General features: G+C 41.3%; 1 protein-coding gene across 3 annotated transcripts in view, besides 1 other annotated feature; it reads left to right on the top strand.

Annotated features, from left to right (window-relative positions):
- The window catches only part of RSU1 (Ras suppressor protein 1), a 226,814-nt gene that overhangs the window by 56,178 nt on the left and 148,471 nt on the right, over positions 1–22,165 (top strand). For all 3 annotated transcript variants that reach the window (NM_152724.3, NM_012425.4, XM_047425617.1), the window contains 3 exons: positions 6,258–6,376; positions 8,247–8,329; positions 8,594–8,708. In NM_152724.3, the coding sequence (NP_689937.2) occupies positions 6,258–6,376; positions 8,247–8,329; positions 8,594–8,708 (317 nt within the window). The remainder of the gene's footprint in view (positions 1–6,257; positions 6,377–8,246; positions 8,330–8,593; positions 8,709–22,165) is intronic.
- Positions 1,813–1,965: a silencer, noted in NCBI's record as "fragment chr10:16801281-16801433 (GRCh37/hg19 assembly coordinates)". NCBI's record gives its function as "represses an EF-1alpha promoter that drives an FKBP-Casp9 reporter gene in an ReSE screen in K562 erythroleukemia cells {active_cell/tissue: K562}" and the evidence as "EXISTENCE:reporter gene assay evidence [ECO:0000049][PMID:32094911]".

Below are 22,165 nucleotides of genomic sequence, written 5' to 3'. Positions count from 1 at the left end.
CTCCTCTCGGGCGTGGTGGCTCATAGCTATAGTTCCAGAAGTTTGAGAGGCTGAGGCTGGCAGGTCATCTGAGGCCAGGAGTTCGAGAACAGCCTGGTCAACGTGGCGAAACCTTGTCTCTACTAAATATACAAAAATTAAGTGTGGTGGCACGTGCCTGTGATCGCAGCTACTCTACCTGGGAGGCTGAGGCAGGAGAATCGTTTGAACCCAGGAGGCAGAGGTTTCAGTGAACTGAGATCGCACCACTGCACTCCAGCCTAGGTGACAGAGTGAGACTCCATCTCAAAAATACATACAAAAATAAATAAACGAGCTCCAATTTTATACTGACCCTTGAGAAATTTGCATAGCAGAGTAGCAGATAGGAGATATGGTCATATTTCCGTATGAAAGAGTATGGAGAAGAGGGTGGAGGGAGGTAAACTAGAGGTTAGGAGACCAATAAGAAGACGAGCTTCATGTCCCAGGTGAACTAGGACAGTGACAGTGGAGGTGGGGGGGATTTTATATGAAAAATATACAGGCGGTAACGTTGACAGACAGTAACTGATGGGATGGAATGATACCTTCATTTCTGTGTTGGGCAGCTGAAAAATACAACAGATGGAGACAGGTTTGGGAAGAAGATAATAAGCTCAAATTTTGTTCTTTTTTGACTTTCCTAATAACATTTTGGTTTGAGGCAGCAGAGGACAGAGTCGTACACTTTTCTTTTTTTTTTTTTTTCTTTTTTTGAGATGGAGTTTCTTTCTTGTTGCCCAGGCTCCAGTGCAATGGCATGATCTCGGCTCACTGCAACCTCCACCTCCTGGGTTCAAACGATTCTCCTGCCTCAGCCTCCCGAGTAGTTGGGATTACAAGTGCACACACCCACACCCAGCTACTTTTGTATTTTTAGTAGAGATGGCGTTTCACCATGTTGGTCAGGCTGGTCTGGAACTCCTGACCTCAGGTGATCCACCTGCCTCGGCCTCCCAAAATGCTGGGATTACAGGCATGAGCCACTGCGCCCGGCCCTAAACTTTTCCTTTTCAATGAATGCATGTTAGTTGCCTTCTTGTTCTCTTTGGAGTTGTTTGCATTTTTGGCTGTCGGTGCTGTACTGATTGTGTAAAGCTTTTTGTATTTAATTACATAGCTACATAGACGGAGTTGTCAAAGTTTGAACAAAACTCCCAGTTCTTTGAGAAAGGAGCTAAGATGGGTTTCACTAAAGGATACTCTGTCCTCAAATGGCATAAAGAATTGTACTCACACAGTGAGGCAAGTTATAGGGAGGACTCCTTATTCTAAGGAGCCAGGGTGAAAAGCATACACACAGGAGATCACAAAGTGGAGATGGGAAGCCACTTGTATGTGTGATCCATCAGAATTTGCTTTCAAAGTTTTTATAGTATTTACAGTTTATTCTGATGATTGTAAGACATGAGAGAATTTTAGGCCACCTGAATAAGTAAAAGAAAGTTTAGTTCTGTTCTCAATTCCTTAAATGCGGTTTATTTCATAGAGTTATTTTCCAAAAAGTGTGAAGCCACATAGGTTGATGTGGCTTCAACAATTATCCATGTTGATGATTATTTCTAGGGTAACTTCACTGCAGGACCACCGTGCCCAACTGTTCGGGAATAACGTTTGACCTCGTTTGTTGCTAGAGCTTGTCTCATAAACACATAGAAGTTTTTATTAAGTCCCTTGTTGGATATTTGTGGATTTGGATTATTTATTTATATATTTTTTGAGACAAGATCTCACTCTGTCACCCAGGCTGGAGTGCAGTGGCATGCTCTCCGCTCACTGCAACCTATGCCTCCTGGGCTCAAATGATCCTCCCACATCAGCCTCCTGAGTAGCTGGGACCACAGGTACGCACCACCACGCCATGCTGATTTTTGTAGGTTTTTTTTTTGGTATAGACGGGTTTTTGCCATGTTGCTCAGGCTGGTCTCGAGCTCCTGAGCTTAAGCAATCTGCCTGTGCTGGCCTTCCAAAGTGCTGGGATTACAGACGTGAGCTACTGGGCTCGGCCTGGATTTTTTTAAATTTTTATTTTTGATAAGTGTGAGTAGGTCACTGTGGAGGTGAGAAAAATTAGTGCCTTTAGACAAGAAGGTTTCTTTGAAGCTGGAGGTGCTCAGGACAACCTGCGGAGAAGAAACTGCTCTGAAAAGGAGGCATTAGTACAGACCTTTCTGGGGCTTTAGAAGACAAGGAAAAAAGATGCTGAAATAGCCTGAAACCCCCTGGTTTTATCAACTTCTCCATCATATGCAGGCATTTGCCCACTTCCAACACGCATTTGAAAAATCTTCCCATGCAAACAAAAGAATTGATACCACTTGGCATAGCTGAGCCCTGCGAAGCTTTATGTTTCAACACCTGAGGTCACCTGAGATTAACCAAGTGTGGCACAAATAGAAAACCACACTTGATAGTTGAGACTATCCAGAGTGGCTTGTCATGAGGTGAGCTTGCTCGCTTAGGGCTAAATCAAAATTTTCTCTCAAATCTTTTGAAAAATAATTCTAGCAACAGCTCTCATTCCCTGAGAAGCCACGTGTGAGCCATGGATTGGGTGTTGGGTGCTTCGGATATTTTCTCTCTTATCCTCTCAGTGATCCTGCCCTGAAGGTGTTGTCAGCCTCATTTTATAGTTGAGGAAACTGGGTCTCAGAGAAGCTGAGTAACTTGGTGAAGGTCACGCAGCTAGCAAGTGCTGGAGCCGGTCTCCTCACCTAGCTGTCTCCTACCTTAAAGCTCCATACTTTTCCTACCGCCACTGTAGCCTCTCATGGAAACCTTGATTGCTAGCAGTGTCAGAGCGGGGCCCTGAGCATGGAATTCCTATGTGTCAAAATGTGGATGGATGGAGATGGATGTTAGCACCTGCTGGAGGGAGGGGGGACAGCCAGCATGTTCCATCCTTCATTCTGCAGAGAGAGAACCCACCATGTCACCATCCACCTGGACTGGTGTCCGGAGAGGTGGCCAGAAGTCTCTGCAGTTCCTTGGCCGCTTTGTAGCTGGGGCTGTTGCTAGCAATTCTTCTGAAGTTTTAGCATTTGTTTAAGGACTTCTTTCTGCCCGCCAGGGTGGTGTGCCTACCACTGTTACTTACTGCTGTCAGCGGCACATGGGACTCTGCTGTGTTCCTTAAATGTTGTGGGTATTGGTTTGTCACTCAAAGGAAAAAGGAATCTGCAATTAAGTAGATTCTTGCCACCAGGAGGTGGAGGGGCTCCAGGCTTGCTCTGGGCTGAAGATTGAGTGGGAGCTCTCTCTCAGGTGAGATGCCTCTTCCCTCTAAGCCTGTCTAACCGTGGATTTCCTCTACCTAATATTGCAAAAGTGTATTTATTTGCAGAGAAAAATGTTAAGGAATCAGCAGTTTTCAAAAAGAGATAACCGAAAGCAGCGTTTAAAGACAGAAGCACCTAGTGTGGTCTTCTCTGCTGTCCTTCCTTTGACTTGCAATTCTTCTCAGAATCCTTGTATCAGAGCCCAAGGGTCTGGAGCAGCTTTGGCCTCCGTGCGGTATGGGGTGTTTCCAGACACATGTCGCCTTCATCAGTCACTTCTGAAGTCTTGGCTCCTCACCCTCTCTTAGGCTGTTTTTTCATCTCAACATAGCATTAATGACAAGCTCCATCTTACCTGTATTGCAAGGTAGTTTTAGTGAACAAGCGAAGTCCTTGCCATAATGTGCTTCACAAATTGTGACTTCATGGAGAATGTTTGTTCTTGCTGTCGTGGCAGTAGATAGTCGTGGAGGTAGTTTTGCTGGGTGTAGTCTGTCTGGGAAGTTTTCTGCCTGACAGGGGGAACCCGCGTTTCCCTTTTGGTTGCCCCCTCTGCTGTCAGCTGTTTCTGGTGAGGCCCTCTTGGTAGGGCTGGATGGAGCTGAATGTGTTAGGAGAAGGATCGATGGCTAGAATGATTTTTATTGTCACAGTCCCTTCCACCTTTCAGTATCTGTCAACTTTTATTAAATTTTTTTTTTAAAAATTGGCTTTTAAGTATGCTCAAAGGGAACTGCGTTAAGAAAAATAAGGGGCTTGAAGAAAGGATAAAAGATAGTGTAGAAAAAAATTCCCTTAGACTTCACTGGAGACACGCCCACACACACACACGCACACCCACACATACCCACACGCACCACACCCACAGCACACACACATACCGTGTACAAACACACCCACACACACACCACACACACACTGCGTACACACACACCACCACACCCCCAAACACACCCTATACACACACCACACCACACTCATACCTACCCCACACCACACACATACCCGCCCCCACACAGCCCCCCACGTCCTTCACACACCACACCCCACCCCTCACACACCACACGAAACACCCAGATACACATACACATAACATCACACACAATACCACACACACACAGCACACACCCCACACACACACTCACACACAATTGACCCTTGAGCAACACATGGGTTGCGGGAGCAACACAATGACTCATGCAGTCAAAAATCCACACATTACTTTTGACTCCGAAAAATCTTAATTCCTAATAGCCTACAGTTGGCTGGAAGCCTTACCAAAACTAGAAATAGTTGATGAACACATATTTTGTATGTTACATGTATTCTATTCTGCATTCTTACAATAAAGTAAGCTAGAGAAAAGAAAATGTTATTAAGAAAGTCGTAAGGAAAAGAAAGTGCATTTACTGTGCTTTAAGTGGAAGTGGATCATCTTAAAGGTCTTCGTCCTCTTCATGTTGAGTGGGCTGAGGAGGAAGCGGAGGGTTGGTTTTGCGGTCTCAGGGGTGGCAGAGGTAGAAGAAAAATATCCATGTCTCATTGGACCCAGGAAGTTCAAACCCATGTTGCTCAAGGGTCAATTGTATGATTTAAAAATTTTTTAGGTTGTGATAAAATGCACACAAAATGTACCGTCTTTGTAGTAGACAGTTCAGTGGTGTTAAGCGTATTCACATTGTTGTTCAGCCAATCCCCAGAATTTTCTCATCTTGCAAACCTGAATCCTACGCCCATTAAACCACACCTCTCCATTCCCCCTCCCTCCAGCCCCTGGCCATCACCATTCTAATTGAAGATAATTTTCAGTGTTAGCAGTTGTAGAACAAAAACATGATTTTCCCTCCAAAAAAGGAATAAATGGAATGAAATCAAGCAAAAGCCTGAAAACTACAAAGCTTCATGTGTATATTTTGAGATATTATCACTACGTTCATAGGGAAGTTGTTCTTTACAAGGAAAGATATTTTGTAATGGTTTGAGTTTTTGTGTAAAGCAGTGATTAAGTTTCACCGTTGGAGGAAAATAACAGCTAAGAAATTTTCAAGTGTTTCAAGATCATGTAAGCTGTCTGACTGAAATTATTAGCCTAAATAGGACAACATACCACACCTTCTCACTTATATGTGGAATGTAAAAAAGTAAACCTCATCGAAACAGGGAATAAAATGGTTACCACAGGCTGGAGGGAGAGGGGAATTGCAGAGATGTTAGCCAAAGGACATGAAATTTTAGTTAGGAGAAATAAGTTCAAGAGATGGATTGTACATCATGGTGACTGCAGTTAATAACAATATGTGGTATAATTGAAAATTGCTAAGAGAGTGAATTTTAAGCAGTCTCACCACAAAAGACAAAAAAAATGACAAGCATATGAGGCAGCGCGTGTGTTAAATAGTATGATTTAAACCATTCCATGATGTAGTATACATACATCAGAAGTATCATGTTGTACACCATAAGTATGTACAATCTTTGTCATTGTAAATATTAAATAAATGCTTTTTTTAATTAAAAAAAAAAAAGGATGGGCATGGGGGCTCACGCCTGTAATCCCAGCATTCTGGGAGGCCTAGGTGAGAGGATTGCTTGAGCTTAGGAGTTTGAGACCAGCCTGAGCAACATGGCAAAACCCCATCTCTGCAAAAAATACAAACATTAGCAGGGCGTGGTGGCGTGCATCTGTGGTCCCAGTTACTTGGGAGGCTGAAGTGGAAGGATCGCTTGAGCCTGGGGAGGTTGAGGCTGCAGTGAGCTGAGATCATGCCTCTGCACTAAAACCTAGGCAACAGAGTAAGACCCTGTCTCAAAAAAATAAAAAATAAAAATAAAGTATAAAGTGACTCTAGGATCATGGCACTGTCTTACACTTTCAGCGTCTGAAACAGAGGTGCCCTTGATAGTCTGTATGAATGTGTCTTTGGTGTCATGACATAGATTTTTGTCCCCCTGCAACAGCATGAACAGGCTGAACACTTTGCCACGAGGCTTCGGCTCCCTGCCAGCTCTTGAGGTTCTGGACTTGACGTACAACAACTTGAGCGAAAATTCTCTTCCTGGAAACTTCTTCTACCTGAGTAAGAAACTTTCAATTCTATAAATCTCCTCAACCTTGTACTTTGCGTTCTGAGAGGGAAATTTATTTGCCAGGACCCAAACTCCAAGAGAAATTATTGGACAGAGATAATTTTTTCTTTAGAGACTCCTTTTGAATATTCCTTCGTAGCTCAGCAGTATGTGCATTTGATAGATCGTTATGTGACACCATTGGGCTGAAGTGGACTTAGTAATGTCATATTAACATTCTGAGAGAGATTATATACCTAAATGAGATCAAGCCTCACATTTAGCTAAGAGACTTGACTTTCTTTTTAAATAGCATGCCAAAAAAAAAAAAAAAAGTATCTTCCTATGTTGCTATTAATTCTTTGTAGGATATTTGCCCAGGATATTCCAACCAATTATTTATTAAAAATATTTATTAATAAACCAGTAACACAATTTTAAAATTTTCCAGCCAGTATTCCTATTTTGAGCCTTTTAAAAAGTACTCTTATTGACCTATTTATCCAGTACACAGGCATTAAGAAATTATTGGCCACAGGTGAACACACTTTATTCTTTCATATGCAAACAAATTTCTTGCTGGAGATGCTTTTGAAAATTAAAAAATGATTTCTTCTGGGAACTCATGCACTATTTTGGACAAGGTTTGCTTCCCTTAAATCAGTGTTCTATTTCTTCAAATAGTAACTTGTGTGGCATTCAGAAAATCTGAATTTTCAGAGCTGATCTCTAAAATTTTATTTTTTACCTTACGTACATTACCTTTCTATGACTTTCTCAAGCACATGAAACCAACTATAAAATATTTTCTTGGGCAGTGGAGCAACTATTTTTATTATGTTATATTAACATGCAGTTCTCGGGAGTATGAGCTACAAAGATCACTTGAGGCTAGGAGTTCAAGACCAGCCTGGGCAACATAGAGAGACCCTGTCTCTAGAAATAAAAATTTAAAAAGTAGCCAGGCATAGTAGCATGAGCCTGTGATCTTAGCTACTTGGGAGGCTGAGGTAGAAAGAGTGCTTGAGGCCAGGAGTTTGAGGCTGCAGTGACCCACTGCACTCCAGCCTAGGTGACAGAGCGAGACTCTGTCTCTAAAAAATAAATACGGGTAAACAAAACATGTATCTAATTATACTCAGCTTTTTTGGTTGAAGATAAACAGATGCTTTAGAATTTTAGCCTTCAGTAGGTTGGAATCGTATTATCATTGTGTAATAATTATGAACAAATTTCTGACTACTGATATTCTCCTTAAGTTAGGATTTACTCTGTTAACTTCATGTCATTATTTTAGCCTCTTTGTCTTCATTTACTTTTGTCCTTAAGGCTGTAGAAACACGTAGTAATAATTAGTCAGATTATGGAACTGATGAGCTGTGGTTATAGCCTCCATCACCAGAAAGCCTTCCATTAATTTGTAACACAGTGCTATTTACATAGGAAAAGGTCTATTTTAACAGAGCTGTATTCTCTTGAAAGAACCCTTTTGCCCTAGGTATCCATAAAAGTGGCACAGTAGTGTTCTTTGTTTTACTTTGGATGCAAATGGAGAAATAAATGTGAATCAAAAGTAATCTATGAGAAGTATAGCAATCTTTTCTGAAAATGTGCTGAAACTCTGTGCCCCAAAATGCTGGCGCCCACAGTTGTTAATTGCGTCATTCCTCTTGGATATAGATGTTTTCCTGGACACACCAGCTACACAATAAGCCAGTAAATCTAAGTTTGACCTGCTTGTTATTATTGGGAGCCCTAGGTATGTCAAAGGCTTTTCACCAAGCCAGGGTTATTAATCAAAGCTGACTCCCTCGTATTGATCAGACCTCAAATGGTTGTGTTCCATGCCACCCTGTTTATATATTGCTGTTTAATTTGCAGCCACCCTGCGTGCACTCTATCTAAGTGACAACGATTTTGAAATCCTGCCGCCAGATATTGGGAAGCTCACAAAGTTGCAGATAGTAAGTAATTTATCTAAATTCTTAGAAAATCAATTCACTGCTGCAGCCTTGTAGGGGTAGAATCAAGTCAATTTGAGCAGGAGTAAGGTTTGTTTTGTGGGAATAAACCACTACTCCTGATAGTGTTTCTTGATTATCCGCCGGCACTTGTAAATACATGGAAAGGATTGAGCTTTAGTAGAAGAGAGGACATAGAGGATGAGAGTTTCTGTGGAGCACCTTTTAATGTGTAAATATGTTGACAACTTGTTTTCTTCTGTTTAGCTCAGCCTTAGGGATAACGACCTGATCTCGCTGCCTAAGGAAATCGGGGAGCTTACCCAGCTTAAAGAGCTCCACATTCAGGGGAACCGCCTCACCGTTCTGCCCCCAGAACTAGGTAAGGTTGCTGATGAATGAACTTAGTTCTGGGTTTCATGAATAACAATTATCCTAATGTAGCAATTCTGAACAACCTCTGTCCTCTTCTTGGCAACTACTCTCCACCTAGGCACACGATGCTGATCATTTGAGAACCATTTGTCATTGACCAGAGTTAGCTGTTACAGGTTTGACCTTCCCGGATCCTGTGTTCTGCAGCTGTAGTGTCCCCTGTCTTAGAAACTGCTGATGAAAGATGACCCCGCTCAGCTCCCTGCGTGATGTAGTGGGAAAAGCATGGGATTAGTAGTAAGAGCCTTATCCCTGGCTCCTCATTGACTAGCTGGGTAAGCTTTCTGGGTCTTGGTTGGTTATTAATAACTTTAAGTATCACTCTTACTTTTTAACCCCTTAAATTTTTATTGACCTGGAAAAACTTTTACCAAATAGTTAAAGTAGTTGTTATGGCTACTTGAACATGTTGATACCTCTGCGGGTCGTGAATTTGCCTCTCTCCTGATCCCATCTCTAGTAGGAATTGTTAAATATGTTCTTGCTGGGAATGGATCCTACTCCTGGCCGCTGAATCCTAATCCTGTTTCTCTGCCAGGTCGTTCCTATTTCCAGGGTGGGTTTATGTCCCCCGCCAGAAATAACCTCCAAGCCAGTAATTCTGTTACTGCTTCGTTCCACTGCAAAAGGTTCACGAGTTCCCTTATCTTTTCTTGTGCAGACCCTCCATAGCCTCTCATTTCTTCAGTCCTTTGAACCACATTGTTTTCTCAAACTGCGATTATTTGCTTTTCTACTCCAAAATACCATCATTTTTAAGAAACACATTGAGGAAGCAGTTCTTTAAACAAGTTTGGCAGTTTGAAGAGGCCATTTGTTAGAAATTAGAATGCAATCACCAGGAGGGCAGGGACATTTTTGTATTTGTTCCCTCGGGTACAGTAGGTGCTCAGAAAACACTGACTGAATGAATTAATGAAGCAAGGACCTTGGATGACAGGACGTTAGGAAGGTTATGAGCAGGCTCATGTGGCTAATGGTTACGCATAGGAAGACTGAGACACAGAGCACGCCTATCAGCACCTTGAGTTCTGTTGGCAGCCATATTAGTCTAAAGGGAAGGCAGTCACGTGATTTCGTGGACCAGCTGGGAAGTCCCGCCTCCTCTCTTGCCATTTCCCTTAGCTCTCTTGCTAGTGTTAAAAATCCACCTAGAGGATTATTTAATGATTTTTTAAGGGCTGAGGAGCAACTCAACACTTCTCTTTACTGAGTTGCAAGTAGTCACGTGTTGCTTTGGGAGCAGGGTGACAGAATCAAGAAACGCTTTTTGCAAACATTTTCAAGGCAAAAAACTTCTTGTTAAAGGAGAGATCTCGGGCCGGGCACGGTGGCTCCCAGTTGTAATCCCAGCACTTTGGGAGGCCGAAGCAGGCGGATAGCTTGAGCCCAGGAGTCTGAGACCAGCCTGTGCAACATGGTGAAACCCCGTCTCTACAAAAAGTACAAAAAATTAGCTGGACGTGGTGGTGCATGCCTGTAGTCCCAGCTACTCGGGAGGCTGAGGTGGGAGGATCACCTGAGCCTGGGAGGTCAAAGCTGCAGTGAGCAGTGATCGTGCCACTGCACTCCTGGCTGGGTGACAGAACAAGACCTTGTTGAAAGGAAAAAAAAAAAAAAAAGAGAGATCTTGTACAGTGGTTAATAACCACAGATGTTAGCATAAGTAATAGCTGGGGAGCTTCTGCAGAACTCAAAAACTTGCTCCCTCCCCAACCTACTAAATCAGAATCTCCATGTGTGAGGTGAATTCTTCTATAACTTGGTGTAAAGCTCACTTAATGCCTCTGACATGTATGCTTGGTTAGTGTGGTTAGTAGAAACGGAAAAATAAATGTGTATTTTGATGTCATTTGATCTTATTTCATTTTTCAAGCAGTGAGGCAACGTAGGATATTAAACAATTATTTTATCAGACAGTAATTTGCCACAAAAATGTCTAGTTGAACCTACGCATGCCTATGTATATATTTTAAAATCTTACTCATTTTGCTTATCTTATTTAAATACTGCATGAGGTCATATTTGTTCAACATTTCTGTAAGGCTTTCCATTAACAAATCATGTATATTTTTATTCAGGTGTAGAATTGAGGGGGAAGGCTTTAAATGACTTTATTTTTGCGAGCCGTATGTAGAAAAGCTTAATCTTAACATTTGCCTGATAGCAGTTTTTCCTGATTATAGACAAACAGTTGTAAGTACGTGATAAACCTTTAGAAGTCACTGTCACAAGCAAAACTCAAGATGAAGACAAATGGACTATTTATTTTTGAATGGTGATTTTTTTTAAAAAGTCAAGATTAGTATACTACTAATACAGTAACAGCTATTATAATAATAGGTAGTATCTATTAAGGCCTGGAATTGCAAGGCACTGTAAATGTTTTTCCTGCAATATCACCTATAATTATCGTAAGAATTATAAGGAGACTTTTTAAAGATGAGGACACTGAGGCATAGAGAGAGTTGGTTGCTGACAAGTCTGTGGGGACACAGCTAGTGAGTCAGGTGAGATTTGAACCTGACAGTCCCTCCTCTGGGTCCAGCTTCCTGATCACGGTGAGGTCCTTTTTCCCACCCATATGCTGGTAAGAGGATTCCTAGAAATGCAGTTTCCAAGTTTGAACAAAACACAACCCCAGCACACTCTCCCGAAAAGGCAGGCGGAGAGATGTTGCTGGATGGTGAGTTGGCGTGGGCTTTGCCGGCATGTGAGCAAGGCTAGCATAACACTTTGCAAAACGCAGCTGAGATGGCCTCTGCAAGACAAATTGCTGGCCCTTTCCAAGCCAGTTGCGTTGTCCCCGTGTCTCTTTCCCCTCAGTAAACATGCCCCAGGATGGGATCGTCTTTGGTTTTTTTGTGTCCCCAACGCCTGAGGTGACCATCTGGATGCTGCTCCGGGCTGGCTGATGGGCAGTGCTGGGCACTGGTGATGCATATGAAGCTTATGCTGCAGGTTTGCTTCTGGGGGTGTTTTAAAGTGTGGATGATGATCTCTCGCTGTATATTTTTTACATATCTGAATACACGAGATAAATGCTTTTGAGATTTCTGTGAAATTTCCTTTCATAATAAATCCAGAGTTTATTGACTTGTAAACTTTTTGGTACTGGTATTTGAGCCAAGCAAGAGAATCCAGGCGAGTTCTGATTTATCAGGTCTGAGAACATACAGGGACACAGCAAAATAAAGTCAGGGGCTTGGCTGGAGGTTTAATACGTGATTGTGTTACTTTACCTTCACTGTGTGTCTTTGAATAAGCCATTTAAACTGTTATGTCTGGTTCTTAAGTAGTAAAGCACTTGCTTTCATATTAGTCTATATACCTATAAGAAATGAGATGTAAGTTGAGTCTCGTGTACCCATTCATTCATTTATTCATTCAGGTTAAGTTCCTATTTGAGGGCAGACCTTTGAGTCCAAGGAACTTGCCTTTTCCGGTAAAGTAAGAGTCACTTACTCAACAACTGTTTGTTGAGCCCCTGGTATTTGCTAGGGATTAGAACAAGAGACAGAACACGCGTGACTGATGATGTTCTAGCGGGAGAAGACAGAAGAAAGAGAGAGAGAATATGAATGACAGATATGTGGTATTAAGAGCTCTGGGAAAAAAATGGAGCATGGAAGGGAGAGCCCGGCTGGGGAACGGGTAATCAGAGAAACCCTCACTCATAGGGTGGTGCCCTTTATGCAGAGACTTAAAGGAAGGAGGGAGGTCCCCTGACAGAGAGAATGGTAAGTGCAAAGGTCCTGGGTGGGCTTGTGTTGAGGAAGAGCAAGGCCAGTGTGGCTGGAACAGAGTGAGTGAAGGGGAGAGAGTTGTAAGCAATGAGCTTAGACAGGAAATGGGGTCTGGTTCACATGGGAACTGGTAGGACATTGTCCGAACTTGGGCTTTTACTCCGGGTGAAATGGGCACTCCTATAGATGCTCCCGTCCTAATCACCAGAATGTGAGAATTTGTTACCTTATATAGGGAAAGTGACTTTGCTTATGGACTTTGTAGTCTTGAGATGGGGAGATTATCCTGGATTGCCCAGGTGAGCCCGGTGTAATCACAAGGGGCCTCCTAAGACAGAGGAAGGAGGGTCAGAGGTAGGAGTAGAAGACATGGTGACAGAAGCAAGAGGCTGGAGTCACTCATGGAAGGGGCCACGAGCCGAGAAGTACAGGCAGCCTCCAGAAACTGGAAAGGCATGCAGCCGGATGTCCCCCCTGCAATCCCGAAGCCTCCAGAAGGAATGCAGCTTTATTGGCACCTCAATTTTAGCTCCATAAAATCCAGTTTTTGGACTTGTGCACTCTACAACAGTAAGAGACTAGATTTCTATTATTTTAAGCCACTGCTTGTAGTCATTGGTTAGAGCAGCAAAAGGAAACTGATACAAATGGGAAGACATTGAAGGGTTTTGAGGAAAGGCATAGCATGATCTGACTTTCTTATTTAGACACAGAGTCTCATGTGATCACCCAGGCTGGAGTGCAGTGGTGCAATCATAGCTCACTGCAGCTTCTGTCTCCCAGGCTCAAGCCATCCTCCTGCCTCAGCCTCCCAAGTAGCTGGGACTACAGGCGTGCACCACTGTGCCCCACTGGTTTTCTCAGTTTTTTGTGGAGATGGGGTGTTGCTGTATTGCCCAGGCTAGTCTCAAACTCCTGTGCTTGAGTGATCCTCCTGCCTCAGCCTCCTGAAGCACTGGGATTACAGGCATGAGCCATGGTGTGTAGCCCCTGACTGTTTTTCAGAGGAGTTCTTTGGCTGCTGTGCTGAAAATAGGCTGGAGGGCAGAGGGCAAGGGTGGAAGTGGAGAGTCTGAGAGATAGGAGACTATCATTGCAATCCTGGTGGGAGTAGATGCTGGCTTCATCCAGATGGTACTGGTAGTGGTAGAAGTAATGGTCGGATACTGGATCTGTTTCCAAGGCAAAACTAACAGGAATTGGTGACAGTTTAGATGAGGGGTGAGAGAGTTAAGGTTAACTGTGAGGTTTTTGGTCTAAGCAACTGGAAGGCTGGGAAAGATTTTAGGAAGAGTAGATTAGGAGAGGGATTGAGGAGAGGAGGTCATCCTGACCTGAGCCTCAGATATCTTAAATTTGAGATGCCTTAAGGGTGTCTCATTGAGAAGGCGATAGGGTATAAGAATCTAGAGTCCAGAAGAGACGTCTAGGCTGCATATATAGTTTGGGGCATTATCAGCATACATTTAAGAGTACAAATTGGATGAGATCCCTTGTGTGTGACTGCAGAGAGTGAAAGATTGAGCCTGAAGCACTATGGTTCCTAAACACTGAAGCCAGAAGGATCGAGGATGTTAATGGGTCGGGCTGACTCCCAGGCAGACATCCGTGGCCATTCAGGGACTGTGGCCACCTCGGTTGACACCACAGATGGCTCCCCATTGCTGGAGCTGTGTGGTGTGTTTTAGCTTCATAGGAAAAAGGGGTTCTCTTATGAGACAGATGGGGGTTGGGGGATTATTCTCTTTTTCCTGACATATGCAGTTAACTCGGCCAGGACAGGACAGTGGAATGCACATAATTGAAATATCCTCCGGAGCCTGCCTGAATGCAGAAGTCTCTTTTTGCCCAGTATTTTCAGCCAGCATCCAGACTCCTAAAAAGCAGCCAGCCGTGTGGCTAACTGAACTTTCACCCCTTTTTTGTTCTTTTATATATTATTTCTTAGAAGAATTAATTAGTAGAGAGGATAAAAATCCTGCGTTGGTAGTGAAGAAAGGAAACTCAATGCATACCCTGAACAATCCTCAGAATAGGTCAACAGCCCCAGGAAAAAAAAAAAAAAAAAAAAAAAGTGATTTGGGAGCTGGTGACGTCACCTGGGGTTTGTTAGCAGTTTTCTATTCCATTTCTGCATTTTCTCACCTGCCGATGAGACCGCTGTTGTGTGAGCTGAAGATCTGGATTCTGTGTTTTGCATAATTCTCTTTCCTGAGCATTCCATGGTTTCTGCTGCTTGTTCTGAATTGGAATCGTTTCTGGTTGCTTGGCTTCTAGGCAGTAATGGGACCTCTTGTCCCGCATTTGTTACCCAGATAATTTTGCCTTTGGAGAAGAGGGAAAAAAAATCACATTGGTCTGCTCGGCATGCAACAAAACAAAGTGCTATAGACATCAAAACCTTAATTTGCACCAATCCCAGCAGCCTATGGGACGTATGTCTGCAACGCTGCATACACCTGGGGCTAGCCAGCTTAGTGCCCTGCAATATGTGCCCACAATCAATAACATTTTTTACTACAGTAACTATGAGAAGCATAGTATTTTCTAGCATACTTGTGAAGAGTGGAAACAAATACTAATCCCCTTCAGAGAGTAAAGGATGTTATGAATTGAGAATTTCCTCTCAATTATATACTCCAGAATAAACAGAATTAACAATGAGTGGATGTACAGTCAAAAATCTCTTGTTATATCTCTTAATCCTTTTCCTGTGGACATTAAGAAGCTAAAGAAAAATAACTTTCTTTTCTGAGGCAGGGAAGAAGAAAATCCAGTATTTGTTTGGTCAATTAAGTCCCTGATTATAAGTGTCTTGTTTATCTTCTCTTCTGTTACTGTCATTCTGTCAACTGGTTCCCATTTATTTTATCCAGAGGTTTAAAACGTTTTTTAAATGTAAACAGTAGAGGATAGAGGTTAAGTGCTGGACTCTCCATCACTAGGCTTGGGTTCAAACCTCACTCTCCCACTGCCTTGTTCTGTGACCTTCAGATATTGATATGATGTGGCTCTGTGTCCTCACCCAAATCTCATCTGGTAGCTCCCATAATTCCCACGCGTTGTGGGAGGGACCTGGTGGGAGATGACTGAATCATGGGGGCGGGTCTTTCCTGTGCCGTTCTTGTGATACTGAATGGGTCTCACAAGATCTCATGGTTTTAAAAATGGGGGTCTCATACACAAGCCCTCTCTTGTGGCTCCTGCCATTCATGTAAGATGTGACTTGCTTCTCCTTGCCTTCCACCATGATTGTGAGGCCTCCCCAGCCTCGTGGAACTATAAGTCCAGTTAAACCTTTCTTTTGTAAATTGCCCAGTCTCGGGTATGTCTCTATGAGTAGCGTGAAAACGGACTAGAACAGATAACGTTATTTTACCTCCCTTCTACACCTCATGTAAAATGAGGGTAATAACAGCTCCCACCTCCTGGTGTCTTTGTGAGGATTAAAAGGATAATCTGCTTAAAGAATTTAGCCTTGATTCAGGAATGAGTACAGCTGCTCAGTGAATGTTAGGTAAATGAACACACACACGCACATACACATACGGGCACAGTGGATATTTATGCTATTAAACTTTGACTGTTTAGAGACCAGCTTTCTGAAACCTGGGCTCTTCTGAAACAGTCTAAGCAGAGAGGTCACCCCAGCCCCACCCTTTTGACAGGGAAGAGGCAGTTAGTTACCGAGTGCCTAGTGAGAAAGAAACAACAGAGTAGATCCAAAGCCAAAGTCTCACCTCACACAGTGGGATTGGTCAGTGTATCCTGTGGATAAAAGAAAGGCTGGGAATTATCCTCCTGTGTGAAAACTGAGGCACATAGGAAGGGTCAGAAGAGAAAAGCGAGGGAAAAGAAGGGGCAAGAGGGAGGAGCTCAGATGAAGGGATTCTGCATGGCCAGTACTCAGGGTGGACAAAAGACATAGCAAGAAGAGTATGCCCGCAGTCCATCCATCCTAAGAATTTTATAATTACAAGCAATTTTCCAAGTCTGTGCCTTTCTTGGGAGTTTTATATTGAGGCTGGGAGCAAGTTCTGGTTGTTCTGTGTAAAAAGCTCTGATTGGCTTTTTGGTTGGACCATTGGTTGTTTCATTCACTCATTCACCCATTCATTCAATTCTTTCTTTTTGACATCCTTTATATGATTATTAACTTGTTCCTAGTAAGTGTTGGGTACTTTGTAGTACTTGCAGTAACTGATTAGACTCACTTCTTTATCCATATTAAGATCTTAAACTACCTCTCTGCAAGTGACAACATTATTTTCTAATTGTTTAATTTCTCACTGTCTTAACATTACCTTTTGTGACAGCGCTTATTTCATTGGGGATTTTTTTTATTCTCCCAGAATTCATGATAACAACCACTGTTCTGAACCAATTGCTTCATTTGTTATATCAGTTGTGTGCCTACACTATAATGCATTTGTCACTTGTCTACATATTAGTAATTTATTTCATGTTTAACATATGCTATATAAATCCATCTTTTGAAATCTTTATTATCAATTAAAAGCATTATAGAAAAAGAAGTCTCTTCTGGAGGTCGACAAAGTAGTTCAGCTCTTATATGAAATCTTTTCTTTCTTTCTTTTTTTTTTTTTTGAGACAGAGTCTTGCTCTGTGTCACCCAGACTGGCTTGCAGTGGCATGATCATGGCTCACTACAACCTTGACCTTCTGGGCCCAGGTGATCCTTGCACCTCAGCCTTCCAAGTAGCTGGGACCACAGGCATGCATCACCATGCCTGGCTAATTTTTTAACTTTTTTAGAGATTGAGTCTCCCTACGTTGCCCAGGCTGGTCTCGAACTCCTGAGCTGAGGCCGTCCTTCCACCTTGTCCTCCCAAAATGTTAGGATTACAGGAATCAGCCACCCACCTGGCTAAATCTTTTAACTATTTCCTTAAGAAAAGATGTAGTGCGATTATTAACTATGTCTAGAATAAGCAGACTCCAAATACATAATAAAAAAGTTAATTTTTTTAGACTAGATTTTTGTTTCGGGGTAATTACCTTCCCCAACCCAAGGCAGCTTTATGTTGTTAACAGAATTGGTTTTCTTGCCTAAATCCTATTACTATGAAAAGAAGGTCTAGCTTAATAGATAGAGCAGTAAGTGACAAGGATGTTCTTTATGGAATTGTAAACTGTGCCACTTTCGCATGAATAAGATTGACTTTGTCAATTGATCACTAACATTTTTCAGATTAGTTTTAAGCTAGATATAATTACAGACATATCTTAGTTTTTGTGCAGAATATCGTAATTTGCAGAAGAGTTTCATGCACTTAATCTCAGTTGTATAATGTAGGCAAGGAGAGCTCTCTGGCCTCTTTTTAAAGATGATGGGACCAAGGGAGATTGTGACTTGCCTAAGGCCACGTTATTGACATGGCTTATTATAGACAGAATCCAGTTTTTAGTTCAGATCTTCCTAATTCAAAAATAAGCATTCCTCCCAATGGTATACCCATCAATGTGTCAAAACTGAGCCAATAAAAAGGCCTAATTTATTATTAGGTGACAGATTGCTGTGGTTCCAAATATATGCCTTAATTTTATTTGAAAAAGAAAATGTTGGGAATAGAATATTTGTACCCAACTTTGAATTTTGACTTGGATTTTATTGCATGCTCCTACGTTTTAATTCTGCATTAATATTTCTTTTGCCATACTTCACAAAAAATCATACCATATCCTTTGATTCCCCTGGCCTTCACTGATAATCAAAAATGACTCCCGTCAAGTCTCCTACATGATATTTTTTAACAAGTTCCATTTTATATATTCTATTTCAGTGAAATCTTTAGCCCCAGAAAATGTTTTCAGCATGGATTTTTAAAATGCTAAGTGAATTGTATTTCTGCCTGGTGAGTTATTGCCTTAAAGGGGTTGGGAAGTTGCAACACATAAAGCGTTTCCGTTTTGTAGTATAAATTTCAGGAAGCCCAGTGTCAGGTTCAGCGTGATTGAACATGTGCATCAATCTGTGTTAACACCAGCTGGAAAAGCTTGCCACTGTGTGCAGTGGACTTCCTTTGATTTAATAGGATGCTAAATGTATTTTGCCCTGGGAGAAATGCCGGCAGTGCTAACGTTCCGGATTTAATTTTTTTTTTTTTTAAATTCCAGAGGCATGTCTCTAAATACAGTTGTTATCACCTCAATACATATATAATATCTTACATTTATGTAGCCTCTCCCTTTGAGGCATCTCCTATATATTATAGTGTTCCTATGTTAAAAGAAAAAAAAAGCAAGGTTATACTGAGTCAGACCCAAATGGTATTGCATGCGTGTGTGAGTGTGAGAGTTTCTTTCAGAGTGCAGTGGGAGTTTGAAAGGAGTGAAGTGGGTGACAGTTGTCCCTCATGTTGTCAACACCTGAAATCTAGGCCTTACCGTGACATCATGGATCAGTCTTTCATATTTATATTTAGACCTTTCCAGAATTCTTCACATTTTCAACTGAGTATTAATTCCCTAAGTTGACTACCCATTACACAAAAGCATCTAATTGTACCATTTATACTCCTGTGAAGTTTTGGGTGATAGCATTCTAATATTAGTAAATAAGCTTATGCTCATTTTTTCAACATACGTAGAGTGATTTTAACACGCCTAGTACTCTCTGTTGCCTTTTATATTTGCTGTTTTAAAAATATCGGCTCTTCTCCTTGGACAGCCCCTATTGAATCCATCTTAACCATACCAGAATCTGACTTCCAACCCCATATACATTATATTTCTGTAATCAGTTCAGTTTGGGGAGCACTGGTTAAATGAAACATACATAACCCTTACCTTCATGAAGAAAATCTTTGAAAGAAAGAAACAGCTGCACAAATAAACATTACAAAATGGCTGCTAGAATGTAAGCTTCCCCAAGACATTGGTTTAAGCCACCCTCATCTCTCACCTGGGTTGCTAGAGTAACCTTTCAACTGGTTTCCTGCTTCCTACCTTCCCTTTACAATCCATTCTTCACCCCGTAGTCAAGGTGATCTTAGAAAATTACAGAGTGGATTGTATGCCTTTGTCAATTAGAGCTCTTTAATGTTCCCTAGGAATATTTAAGGCCCATCTGGCACCCATGGTTTCCATGCTACTTATCACCCTCACTCACTCATGAGCCGCTGTCAATAACCTCCTCTCACTTTTTCATGATCTTTGCTCTCTCCTTGGAATTTTCACCTGAATATTTTTGCAGCTCATACCACACAATTCATACATTCTAAGTGTACAATTCAGTGTTTTTTAGTATGTTCAGAGTTGTACAACCATTACCACAACTTTAGAACATCGTTTGTTACCTCAAAATGAAATGCCATACCCTTTTCTTTCCCACTCCAATCCGTCCATCTCTCCTAGCCCTAAGGGTTTTATAGTTTGGCTCTTACATTTATATCTTTGATCCATTTTGAGTTAATTTTTGTATGTGATATGAGCTAAGGATTCAGTTTTATTCTTTTGCCTGTGGCTGTCCTGTTGTTCCAGCACCATGTGTAGAAAAGACTGTTCTCTTTTTATCAAATGGTCTTGGCACTCTTGTCAACAACCAATTGACAGCAGATATATAGTTTTATTTTTGTACTTTCAATGCTATTTCACTTATTTATATGTCTATCCTTATGCGAGTACCACACTATCTTTAGTACTGTTGCTTTGTAGTAAGTTTTTAAATTGGGGCATGTTAGTTTCAACTTTGTTATTCTTTTTCAAGATTGTTTTAGCTATTTTGAGGCCTGTGAGTTTCCAAATGAATTTTAGAATCAGCTTGTTAATTTATACAAAGAAGCCAACTTGTGTTTTGGTAGAAATTGCACCGAATTTGTAGATTATTTCAGGGATTATCATAATCTCAACAATATGAAGGCTTCAGTTCAGATCCATGAACATGGGATATTTTTTCCATTTATTTAGATCTTCGATTTCTTTCAGTAATGTTTTGTAGATTTCAGAGTTTTTGATACTTTTGCTAAATTTTTTCCTAAGCATTTTATTACTTTTGTTGCTATTATATATGAAATTATTTTCTTAATTTTACTTTTGGGTTGTTGGTTGCTAGTATGTGGGAAGACAGTGGATACTGTATTGATTTTATATTTTACAACCTTATGAACTCAGTTATTCTCATTGTTTTTTAGTGGATTCCTTAGAATTTTCTCTTTATGAGAGCTGTTTTACCTCCTCCTTTCCAATCTGGATGTCTTTAATTTTATTTTCTTGGCAATTACTTTGGCTGCAACTTCTAGTACAGTGTGGAATATAGATGGCAAGAGCAGACATCCTTGTCTTAAATCTTAAGGGGAAAGCATCCAGTCATTCACCATAGAATATTATGTTATCTGTAAGATTTTTTTGTGTAAACCTTGTCAGATTTTACAAATGCCCTTCTATTTTTTGTTTGCAGAATGATTTATCATGAAATGTTGAATTGTGTCAAATGCCTTTTCTATGTCTATGTGGCTTTTATTTTTTGTATCTTCCTTTTTATATATTTCTGGATTTCATTTGTTAGTATTTTACTTAAAATTTTTCCACGTTCATGAGGGATATTAGTTTGTAGTTTTCTTCTGGTATTATAGTATCTTTGTATAGTTTTTGTTTCAGGACTATCGAGTCTCATAAAATGAGTAAAATTTGATAGTTTTTCTTTTTTGAATGTTTGAAAAAATTCATTATTGACGCCATCTGGGTCTTGAATTTTCTTTGTGGGAAAGTTTTGAATTATGAATTGAGTTTTTTGATATAAGGCTCTTCAGATTTTCTGTTTCCTCTAGAGTCTTTTGGTAATTCTCATGTCTTAAAAATGTACATTTTGGCCGGGCACGGTGGCTCACGCCTGTAATCCCAGCACTTTGAGAGGCTGAGGCGGGTGGATCACCTCAGTTCGGGAGTTCAAGACTAGCCTGACCAACATGGAGAAACCCCATCTCAACAAAAAATACAAAATTAGCCGAGTGTGGTGGTGCACACCTGTGATCCCAGCTACTCGGGAGGCTGAGGCAGGAGAATTGCTTGAACCCAGGAAGTGGAGTGAGCTGAGATCACACCATTGCACTCCGGCCTGGGCAACAAGAGTGAAACTCCATCTCAAAAGAAAGAAAGAAAGAAAATGTGTAGTCCCAGCTACTCAGGAGGCTGAGGCAGGAGAATGGCGTGAACCTGGGAGCCGGAGCTTGCAGTGAGCCGAGATTGCGCCACTGCACTCCAGCCTGGGCGACAGAGCGAGACTCTGTCTCAAAAAAAAAAAAAAAAAAAAAAGGAAGAAAATGTACATTTCTTGCAAATCAAAACCACAATGAGATACCATCTCACACCAGTTAGAATGGTGATTATTAAAAAGTCAGGAAGCAACAGATGCTGGAGAGGATGTAGAGAAATAGGAACACTTTTACACTCTTGGTGGGAGTATAAATTAGTTCAACCATTCTGGAAGACAGTGTGGCAATTCCTCAAGGATCTAGAACCAGAAATACCATTTGATCCAGCAATCCCATTACTGGGTATATACCCAAAGGATTATAATTCATTCTACTATGAAGATACATGTGCATGTATGTTTATTGCAGCACTATTTACAATAGCAAAGACTTAGAACCAACCCAAATGCCCATCAATGATAGACTGGATAAAGAAAATGTGGTCC

The sequence above is a fragment of the Homo sapiens genome, chromosome 10 (assembly GCF_000001405.40).
Source record: "Homo sapiens chromosome 10, GRCh38.p14 Primary Assembly".
In the NCBI taxonomy this organism is placed as follows: Eukaryota; Metazoa; Chordata; class Mammalia; order Primates; family Hominidae; genus Homo; species Homo sapiens.
The sequence above is the reverse complement of the archived record's forward strand: the minus strand, read 5'-3'. Positions and strand labels throughout refer to the sequence as shown.